General features: G+C 48.4%; 1 long non-coding RNA gene across 1 annotated transcript, besides 2 other annotated features; it reads left to right on the plus strand.

Annotated features, from left to right (window-relative positions):
* Positions 5989-6938: an enhancer, noted in NCBI's record as "H3K27ac-H3K4me1 hESC enhancer chr17:72978097-72979046 (GRCh37/hg19 assembly coordinates)". NCBI's record gives its function as "activates a minimal SCP1, AML or CMV promoter by ChIP-STARR-seq in naive H9 embryonic stem cells {active_cell/tissue: H9 hESC(naive)}" and the evidence as "EXISTENCE:reporter gene assay evidence [ECO:0000049][PMID:30033119]".
* LOC124904058 (uncharacterized) lies at positions 6381-8836 on the plus strand. Its single transcript, XR_007065906.1, has 2 exons — positions 6381-6763; positions 8254-8836. It is a non-coding gene; the product is annotated as an uncharacterized LOC124904058 (long non-coding RNA).
* Positions 6551-6600: a silencer, noted in NCBI's record as "silent region_8948". NCBI's record gives its function as "represses an Ori minimal core promoter by ATAC-STARR-seq in GM12878 lymphoblastoid cells {active_cell/tissue: GM12878}" and the evidence as "EXISTENCE:reporter gene assay evidence [ECO:0000049][PMID:35858748]".

Consider the following 11452-nt stretch of genomic DNA (forward strand, 5'->3'; position numbering starts at 1 on the left):
TGAGCCACCACACCCGGCCCTTAGATCATCTTAATGCCAGGAAATCTTACAAAGTCTCTGTGCATTCACCCCACCACGGCATGGAAAAAAACATAACATTGTCCTGAGGAACTTGACCACTAACATATCTAAGTGGAAAAATACCCATTCATCCCTGACCGTTATTTACATTCTCTAAGTTAAGCTTAACATCCTCTCTAGTTCCACCAGTAATTATGTTTTTAAAATGCTGTCAGTTGTTTTCCAGTGATGCATATTGATATCTGTAGTGACTGGGCATTTGCTTTTAAATCTACTGCAGCAAAGAAAAACAGTTCGTTCCACCATTCTGTCTACTTTTGTGTGTGTGTGAAAACTTTTATAGTAAACATTTTAAGAAATAAGTCTGGATGTATGAAGAAAGAATATTCTCGGCCGGGCGCGGTGGCTCACGCCTGTAATCCCAGCACTTTGGGAGGCCGAGGCGGGCGGATCACGAGGTCAGGAGATCAAGACCATCCTGGCTAACATGGTGAAACCCCATCTCTACTAAAAAATAAAACATAAAAAAAATTAGCTGGGCATGGTGGTGGGCGCCTGTAGTCCCAGCTACTCAGGAGGCTGAGGCAGCAGAATGGCGAGAACCCAGGAGGTGGAGCTTGCAGTGAGCTGAGATCGCACCACTGTACTCCAGCCTGGGCGACAGAGTGAGACTCTGTCTCAAAAAAAAAAAAAAAAAAAAAAAAAAAATATATATATATATATATATATATATATATATATATACACACACACACACACTTACTAAATAAAACAAAATAAAACAGAGCTTTTAAAAAATTTTTTTAATTACGTATCCCTGATCAATTTGAGGGTTCCCTGGTAGGTTCTTCACTGTGATGTCTGCATATAGAAACCATGTCCTGTTCTCCTTTATGCCCACCATAAAAGGAAGACTCGCAGGTCTATGGCTGTCATGGCCCTCCCTGGCACCCTTTTTCTGAGTTCAACCGTCAATCATCCAACAAACACTTACTGAGGCCAAGAGCAGTGGGTCACGCCTGTAATCCCAGCACTTTGGGAGGCTGAGGCAGGTGGATCACCTGAGGTCCCAAGTTTGAGACCAGCCTGGCCAACATGGTGAAACCCTGTCTCTACTAAAAATACAAAAATTTAGCTGGGCATATAAAAATAATAATATTTTTATTTTATTTATTTATTTAATTTTTTATTTTGAGATAGAGTCTCTCTCTGTCACCCAGGCTGGAGTGCAGTGGCGTGATCTTGGCCCACTGCAACCTCTGCCTCCCAGGTTCAAGTGATTCTCCAGCCTCAACCTCCTGAGTAGCTGGGATTACAGATACGCGCCACCACAACAGGCTAATTTTTGTATTTTTAGTAGAGATGGGGTTTCACCTTGCTGGCCAGGCTGGTCTCCAACTCCTGACCTCAGGTGATCCACCCACCTTGGCCTCCCAAAGAGATGGGATTATAGGCATGAGCCACCACCCCCGGCCTCTATTATAATTTTTTGTGTGTGTGTGAGACAGAGTCTCTCTCTGTCGCCCAGGCTGGAGTGCAGTGGTGCTGTCCTGGCTCACTGCAAGCTCTGCCTCCCGAGTTTATGCCATTCTTCTGCCTCAGCCTCCCGAGTAGCTGGGACTACAGGCGCCCACCACCACACCCGGCTAATTTTTTGTATTTTTTTTAGTAGAAACAGGGTTTCACCATGTTAGCCAGGATGGTCTCGATCTCCTGACCTTGTGATCCGCCCGCCTCGGCCTCCCAAAGTGCTGGGATTACAGGCGTAAGCCACCGCGCCCAGACTATTATAATATTTTTAAAAATCAAAAAAAGAGAGAGGAGGGAGGGAGGAAGACAGACACCTGATTTGAGTGAAATGTAGAGAGACAGGAGATACGCTTGAAGTGGACCAGGAGCAGACCATAAAGGGCTGCATACATCCTGATAAAAGGCATTAATCTTATTCCATGAGCAACAAAGAGCCTGAGAAGCAGGGGAGTGATGTCATGAGATGTCATTAGATCTTAATGAAGCCATCCTGGCTGCAGCAGGAGAGAGAAATGACCTGAACATGGGGAATCCAGCTGGGAGGTGAGAGCTGATGAGGGCTCAACCAAAGCAGTCACAGATAGATGGAGAGGAAGCAGGCAGGTGGTATTGACAAGGTGGAGTCTTGGAACTTGGTTTTCTATCTCATATGTGTTCTAGGTACCATTGCTGCATAACAACCTTTCCACCAAACTTGGTGTAAAACTATAACCATTTTATTATGTTCACAAATTCCATGGGTCAGGAATTCAGACAGGACTCAGCTGCGGTGGCTGGTCTGTGCTTCACAATGTCTGCGGTCTCAGCTGAGAAGACCAGAATGGCTGGTGCTGGGGTTAACTTGGAACAGCTGGGGGGCTGAAATTACCAGGTGGCTTTACTCATACATCTGATGCCTGAGCTGGCAGGACCCAAAGACTGGGTTCAGCTGGGGCTGAAGACAGACACACCAACGTGTGACCTCTCCATGTGGCTTGGGCCTCTCTCAGCAAGGACACTGGGCTCTGTGAGGGAACACCCAAAAGATGCATATGAAAATAGGAAGTGGACACAGTGGCTCACACCTGTGATCCCAGCACTTTGGAAGGCCAAGGCCGGAGGATCGCTTGAGCCCAGGAGTTCGAGACCAGCCTGGGCAACATAACAAGACTCCATTTCTATAAAAAATAAGAAAAAAATACTAGCCAGGTGTGGTGGCAATTACCTGTAGTCTCAGCTACTCAGAAGGCTGAGGCAGGAGGATCGCTTGAGCCTGAGAGGTTGAGAATGCAATGAGCTATGATCTCACCACTGCACTCAGCCTGGGTGACAGAGCGAGACCCTGTCTCAAGAAAAAAAAAAAAAGAGAGAGAGAGAAAGAAAAGGAAAGAGGGTGTTCAAGAGAACAAGGGGGAAGTTGCATATCTGTTCAGCATCCAGTCTGGGAGGGAAGTAACATAGAAAGTCACTTTCACCACACTCTATTGGTCAAAATAGTCACAAGGTCACCAGATTCCAAGGGAGAGGACCTCTACCCCACCTCTCCATGGAAAGAGTGTCAGAGAATTTGGTACCATATTTTATTTTTATTTTTATTTTTATTTTTATTTATTTTTTGAGATGGAGTTCTGCTCTTGTCACCCAAGCTGGAGCGCAGCGGCGCGATCTCAGCTCACTGCAACCTCCGCCTCCTGGGTTCAAGTGATTCTCCTGCCTCAGCCTCCCGAATAGCTGGGACTACAGGTGTGCACCACCACACCCCGCTAATTTTTGTATTTTTAGCAAAGACGAGGTTTCGCCATGTTGGCCAGGCTGGTCTCGAACTACTGACCTCAAGTGATCTGCCGCGTGCCTCAGCCTCCCAAAGTTCTGGTATTACAGGCATGAGCCACCACGCCTGGCCCATGTCACCCTTGGTGCCTCTCTTCCTGCTACCAACCCCCCACCAACCCCAACCAATTCATCACCAAGTCCTATGGTGTTATCCATCAAACATATATATTGTATCATCCTACGGCCCTTCATCTCCCCCGCCCTCACCTTTGCCAGGGTCCCATAACCTCCCACCTGTAGCAGCCTCCACTCATCCCCTCTCCCACCTACTCTCTGCAGAACAGCCCAAGTAATTTGAACATGGAGCTCACATCACTCCCCCATGAAGACTCCTCTGAGCACTGCGTCAGGAGCAACCTCCAAGGCCCCGCAAAGTCTGAGCCTGCTTCTCCTCCCTTCAGTCCCTGGGTTCCACCCACGTGGGTCTTCCTTCATTTTTCTCAACCACTCTAAGTCTTTCTGCCCAGGATCTTTGTATAGTTTGTTCCTTCTGCCTGGGACATCCCTCCTCCCACTCCTCATGTGACTGTCCCCTTTTCGTCCTCCAGGGTCTTATCTTAAAAGTCTCTTTCCGGCCGGGCGCAGTGGCCCACGCCTGTAATCCCAGCACTTTGGGAGCCCGAGGGGGGTGGGGGTTGGATCACGAGGTCAGGAGTTCAAGACCAGCCTGGCCAAGATGGTGAAACCCATCTCAACTAAAAATACAAAAATTAGCCGGTTGCGGTGGCAGGTGCCTGTAATCCCAGCTACTCGGGTTGGGGCGAGATCATTCAGCTACTTAGGAGGCTGAGGCAGGAGAATCACTTGAACCTGGGATGCGGAGCTTGCAGTGAGCCAAGATCGTGTCACTGCACTCCAGCCTTGGTGACAGAGTGAGACTCTGCCTCGAAAAAAAAAAAAAAAAGTCTCTTTCCCTGAGAGATTTCCCAGCTCCACCATTGTTACTTCAGTCCCCCATGTTCTTAACACTATTGTAAATATTTTTGCTTTTTTTTTTTTTTTTGAGACAGAGTCTCGCTCTGTCGCCCAGGCTGGAGTCCAGTGGCGCCATCTCGGCTCACTGCAAGCTCCGCCTCCCGGGTTCACACCATTCTCCTGCCTCAGCTTCCCGAGTAGCTGGGACTACAGGCGCCCGCCACCATGCCCGGCTAATTTTTTTTGTATTTTTAGTAGAGACGGGGTTTCACCGTGTTAGCCAGGATGGTCTGGATCTCCTGACCTCGTGATCTGCCCGCCTCGGCCTCCCAAAGTGCTGGGATTACAGGCATGGGCCATCGTGTCCAGCCTATTTTTGTCTTTTTAATTGTTTGACATCTGTCTCTTCTACTGAAATTCAAGCTTCCCGTGAGCAAGGACTGAGTCCGTTTTGTTCTCTGTATCCTCAGCACTCAGCACCATGTCTAACACATCATAAATATTTATTGGACAAATGAATGACAATAACTCCTGGGCTTCCAGCTTGGGTGATTACAGGAGGAGGAGCCAGTTGATCACCCACTTTAGTCAATAGGAATGACACATTTTGGCCAACTCTTTCTCAGATTTATCTTTTTTTTTTTTTTTTTTTTTTTTTTTGAGATGGAGTCTGTCGCCCAGGCTGGAGTGCAATGGCACAATCTCGGCTCACTGCAACCTCTGCTTCCTGGGTTCAAGCGATTGTCCTGCCTCAACCTCCCTGGTAGGTGGGATTACAAGTGCTCGCCACCATGCCCAGCTAATTTTTGTATTTTTAGTAGAGATGGGATTTCACCATGTTGGCCCGGCTGATCTCGAACTCCTGACCTCGTGATCCACCTTCCTTGGCCTCTCCAAATGTTGGGAATACAGGCGTGAGCCACCGCGCCTGGCAGATTCATCTTTGATTAGTTTTAGGAGTTTTTCAGGCAGGGCAGGTGGATCTGACCTGGGGCAAAGGGATAAGGAACGCTGTGAATTGTGGAGTTAGGGGGTCATTGGGAAGAAGGCCGAAGAAGGAAGGCCAAGAAAAATGGCTTAGAACATTTCTTCATTCATTGGGAGACCTGCCATGTGCCAGCCAGAGTCCCTGCCCTCAAGGAGTTCTCAGTCTGCCGGGAAGCAGAAGGGTCCCACGCAGAGAGCCTCCATGCTGTGACGCGGCTGTGCTAGAGGCGGGGGAGCCCAGGCAGCCCTCAGCGGGCAAATGCACCTGGGGCTTCTCCCCAGGTCTCTTCTCCCAAGGCTGAGCCTTGACTGCAGGCTCCACCTGCCTCCCCAGCCAGAAAGGTAAAGTCCCTGCACTGGCATCCCCAGCCTGCCTTAGGAGCCCTGCCAGAGATGGGGTAGTGAGGGGCAAGGAATAGTTCCTCCAGGTGAAAACCGATAATAAGGCCCTAATAGTCACTGACCGTGCTCGGCAGACCCCAGCGCTGATCTAAGCGCTGGCGTGTATGAACTCATCGCACCCTCCCAACCAGCCCAGGAGGTATCAGAGGAGTAAGGTTGGATATCATCAGCACAAGTCTCCTAAAGGTCACCCCACTGATGACAGGCCTGGAGGGTTCACACTGCAGAGATTTGAGGTAGACATATGGAGGCATTTCCCGACCGCAAGAACCTTGAGAATCTGAAATAATGTACCCTTCAGAGCACACGATTGTCTGGAACAAACTCAGACGGTGCATGGGGGAGAGGGGGATGGGCAGCAGATGACCTCACTCCAATGTCCTGAGCGCCTTACCCCGCCAGGCGCTGACCTCAGACTGGTGGAGGGGACAGATGGGGCGAGATCATTCAGTACAGTGTGCGCCCAGCGCTGGAGCGAACATGTCCGGGGACAGGGAGGGAGGCGCCGCTTGCAGGGGTGTGGGGACTCGAGGAAGGTTTCCAGATGTCGCCCTATCCTTTAACCTCAACCCGAGATGTGCAGCGCGCGAGGTCGGTCGACGCCCTTCGCCTCCCGCAACGCCGCTGTGCGGTTGGGGGCGGTGCGGTCCCTCTGCCGCCAGCGCAGCCCGCGAGCCGTCACTTCCTGTGGGCTGGGCCGAGCCGGGCTGCGCGCGGAGGTAGGGGATGCAGGCTGGGGGTGAGCAGCAGCGACGGTGCCATCGGCTGTCGCATCGGCGTCCTCAGCCCCGCCCCGCGCCTAAGCGGCGCTCGCTGGGAGGGCCTGGCCATCTTCGCGCGGTGGCCGGGCGCTCCCGGGGTCCCCTGCCTGTGCCCCGTTCCCCCATCCAGAACCTGGGCTGGAGGTGCTAGGGAGCTCTGGGAGCCTGGGCTGCACGCAGGGAAGTGCTCTCGGCCGCCGGGGTCACAAGACTCCAGGGCTTCACAGTGCCCAAGGCTTGGTGGACATCGAGCCCACCGGGGAATCTTTGCCATCAGCGCCGTGTTTTGATGCCCGCGGCAAGGAACACCACGAAATAGGTTTCCTGACACTCAGGTGAGGTGCCAGGTCCTGGGTTACCAAGGTCAGGTCAGGTGGTCTGTACTTGCCACCCCTGGGTCGGCTCTCTACCCTGCTTGACTACATCACAGGAAAAGGCTGGAAATGGATCCGGGGCTTGTTGACCTGTAGCTCATGGAGGCTGAAGAATTTCCTCCTTGAAGGCAGACCTGATTTTCCTCCTCACGGAAGAGTTTAGGCCAGTCATAGGGTGTTTTTCTTCTATTTATTTTATGTTATGTTATGTTATGTTATGTTATGTTATGTTATGTTATGTTATGTTATGTTATGCTATTTTATTTTATTTTAGAGACAGAGTCTCACTCTGTTGCCCAGGCTGGAGTGCAGTGGGGCCATCTCAGCTCACTGCAACCTCTGCCTCCCGGGTTCAAATGATTCTCCTGCCTCAGCCTCCTGAGTAGGTGGGATTACAGGCGTGCACCACCATGTCTGTCTAATTTTTGTATTTTTGGTAGAGATGGGGTTTCGCCGTGTTGGCAAGGCTGATCTAGAACTCCTGAGCTCAAGTGATCCGCCCGCCTCGGCCTCCCAAAGTGCTAGGATTACAGGCGTGACCCACTGTGCCTGGCTTCTTCTTTAGTAAATAAACTATTTTATCAAAGTATAATATATCTTCAGAATAGTGCACACATCTTAAGTGTACAGTTGGGTGAATTTTCACAAAGTGAACACACCTGTGTAACCAGCACCCAGCTCAGGAGATAGAATTCTCCTGAATGGGAGTTAGTGTTTAATGGTACAGAGTTTCAGTTTTACAAGATGAAAATAGCTACGGAGATGGATGGTGGTGATAGTTGTACGTTATAAATGTATTGAATACCACTAAACTGTACACTCAAAAATGGTAAATGGTAAATCTTATGTGTGTTTCACCACAATCGTAAAAAAAAAAAAAGAAAAAAGATCAGCTGGGTGTGGTGGCACAAGCCTGCAGTCCCAGCCATTTAGGAGGCTAAAGCAGGAGGATCACTTGAGCCCAGGACTTTGAGGTTACAGTGAACTATGATTATGACACTACACCCCAGCCTGGGATCCCATCTCAAAAATAAGTTTAAAAAATTTTAGAAAAAGATTCCCAGCCACTTAGAATTCTCCACATGCCTTCCCAAAGCCAAACACTATCTTGATTCATTTTGCCAGTTTTTAACTTTATTATTATTTATATTTTATAGAGACAGAGGGTGGCTGTGATGCCCAGGCTCGTCTCAAACTCATGGCCTCTAGTGATCCTCTTGCCTCACCCTTCCGAGTAGCTGGGATTCCAGACACATGAACTTTATTTTTATTTTTATTTTTTGAGACAGAGTCTCGCTCTGTCACCCAGACTGGAGTGCAGTGGCGCAATCTCGGCTCACTGCAAGCTCCACCTACCCAGTTCACGCCATTCGCCTGCCTCAGCCTCCTGAGTAGCTGGGACTACAGGTGCCTGCCACCACGCCCAGCTAATTTATTTTTTATTTTTTTAGTAGAGTCGGGGTTTCACCGTGTTAGCCAGAATGGTCTCGATCTCCTGACCTCGTGATCTGCCTGCCTCGGCCTCCCAAAGTGCTGGGATTACAGGCGTGAGCCACTGCACCTGGCCATGAACTTTATATAAAATGGAATCATGCAGTGCTGTGATAGAATCATAACCACTAAAGATATCCACATCCTAACCCCCAGAATCTCTGAATATGTTACCTTGCCCAACATAAGGGACTTTGCAGATGTGATTTAGTTAAAGACATTGAGACAGGGAGATTATGCTGTATTATTCAGTGTGCCCAGTTTAAGCAGAAGAGTCCTTTATAAGAGGGAGGTGGAAAAGGTAAGAGTGATGGGATGTGAAAAAGACTCCACCTTCTGTTGCTGACTTTGAAGATTGACAAAGAGGCCATGAGCCAAGGACTATGGGGTGGCCTCTAGAAGGTGCAAAAGACAAGGAAACAGATACTCCCCTGGAACCTCCAGAAGGAACACAGCTTCTACCAATGCTTTGACTTTAGCCAGTGATCCTTGTCAGACTTCTACAGAATTATAAAATAATAAATTTGTGTTGTTTCAAGCCCATTAAATTTGGGGTCATTTGTTACAGAAGCAATAAGAGACAAATACAGGTATTTACTCTTTGTGTCTGGCATCTTTCACTCAACTTTTTTTTTTTAGCCCAAGCCCATGACAGTAGATCATTGTATTTGTACTATATAACATTCCATTACATGAACATGCCACATATTCTTCGTCAACTGTTGATGGACATTTGTGTTGTTTCCAGTGTGGGCGCTTATGAATACTGTGGCTATGAACTTTCTTGTACATGTCTTTGGGATAAGGTATGTGCATATTTCTCTTGCACATATATAGGAATAGAATTTCTGGGTTATAGGGTATGCATGTATAGTGGCTGCTGTGATGTATCCCCAACTCTTTCAGAACGAAAGGACCTATTCCCTTAGCTGCTGGGAGGACCCCTGGCTGGCAGTCCCAGCTGCCAGGGCTCTGTGCAAACTAGTCTCAGCTGAAAAGAACTTATTTGGCCAAGGTCACACATGCCTCCTAGGAACGACCTGTGTCATTCAATGACTGGTTGATATGTAAGGGTGGGGGATATAAAGGCCCCCTCCCCCAATGATACCTGGAATAGCTTTGAAGGGTCACCCTGGATTCAAAGTTCTTCAGGGATCAGAGGAGGCTTTTGCAGAGGCTACATACCAACCCAGCTTCTCCCCCACCAACCCTGCTTCCCTCCCTTTCCTGCAGGTGTTGATCATGAGAGCACTCCCTAGTCAACTTTCTTTCTTTTTTCTCCCTCTAATCCAATATGATTGATATCCCTAATCAACTTCCTGCATGCTAATCTCCATCTCAGGATCAGCTGCCTGGGAACACAACCTACAACAGCTTACGTTATTCAGCTTTCATGGTTATCAAGCAGTCTTTTTTTTTTTTTTTTCCAAGACGCAGTCTTGCTCTATCGCCCAGGCTGGGTGCAGTGGCGCAATCTCAGCTCACTGCAACTTCCGCCTCCCAGGTTCAAGCAATTCTCCTGCCTCAGCCTCCCAAGTAGCTAGGACTACAGGCATGTGCCACCATGCCCAGCTAATTTTGTATTTTTAGTAGAGACAGGGTTTCACCATGTTTCCCAGGCTGGTCTTGAACTCCTGACCTCAAGCGATCCACCCTCCTTGGCCTTCCAAAGCGTTGGGAATTACAGGCATGAGCCACCACGCCCGGGCAGTTTTCTAAAGTGGTTGTCGTCCTATGTATTCCCTCCAGCAGGGTGAGAGAGTTCCAGTTGCTCAACATTCTTGCCAATACTAGGTATTTTTTGTCTTTTTTTTTTTTTTTTTTTTTTTTTTTTTGAGACAGGATCTTGCTCTGTCACCCAGGCTGGAGTGCAGTGGCATGACCACAGCTCCCTACAGCCTCAACCTCCTAGACTCAAGCAATTCTCCCACCTCAGCCTCCCAAAGTATCTGGGACTACAGCCGTGTGTCATTATGCCCACCTAATTTTTATTTTTAAATTTTTTTATAGAAATAGGATCTTGCTATGTTGCCCAGGCTGCTCTTGAACTCCAGGCTCAAGTGATCCTCCCAACCTCGGCCTCCCCAGAGTTCTGGGATTATAGGCATGAACCACCACGCCTGGCCTTTTTTTTTTTTTTTTTTTTCCCTAAAGCCACTCTGGTGATTGGGTAGTGATACCTCATTGTGGTTTTCATTTGCATTTTTCTGATGGCTAAAGAAGTTCAGTACCTTGTTGCATATTTATTCAGTTATTTGTGTATCCTTTTTTGTGAATTACCTGGTCAAATCTTTTACCCACTTTTCTACTGGGTTGCGTGCCTTTTTCTTATGACTATGCAGATGTTCTTTCTGTATTCTGGATACAAGTCATTCGTTGGGTATATCACAACATTATTCAGAGATTCTCAACGGCACCAGCACATTAGGGTCCCAATAAAAATGAGTTACGTGAATGCTTGAGTCCGAACACTCTTCTAAGGAAAGAATGCTTGGACAGATGCAAGTGTGTATAGTTTTAATGGGTATAATTGGATATAGGATATGGGTCCCAAGGAAAGGAAAACAGAACCTTGAATGCAGGTAACACACCCTCAAACTTTGCCACTTTCAGCCTGTGGTTTCTAGCCACAAGCACTTAAACACGCAGTTCCCAAAGGCAACTGTAAATTAGTATTCATTCATTCAAAGAATGTCGATGGAAGGTATCAATGACCAGCATGTTGTTTGTTTTTTGTTTGTTTGTTTTTTGAGGCAGAGTCTCCCTCTGTCGCCCAGGCTGGAGTGCAGTGGCGCTATCTTGGCTCACTGCAACCTCTGCCTCCAGGGTTCAAGCGATTCTCCTGCCTCAGCCTCCCGAGTAGGCATGCGCCACCATGCCCAGCTAATTTTTGTATTTTTAATGGAGACGGGGTTTCGCCATGTTGGCCAGGCTGGTCTCGAAACCCCTGACCTCAGGCGATCTGCCCGCCTTGGCCTCCCAAGGTGCTGGAATTACAGGAGTCAGGCATCGCGCCCGACTGGTGAGCAGCCTGTTCTAGGAAGTGAGTAGCCAGCTGTGAAAGAGAAACAATATTCTTGCTTCCAGGAGATCTAGGAGAGACGACAACTTCTAAAATAGCATAATTTTAGACATGAGACATAAACTGAATAGGTCGTA

Source organism: Homo sapiens, chromosome 17 (genome assembly GCF_000001405.40).
Source record: "Homo sapiens chromosome 17, GRCh38.p14 Primary Assembly".
Lineage (NCBI taxonomy): Eukaryota > Metazoa > Chordata > Mammalia > Primates > Hominidae > Homo > Homo sapiens.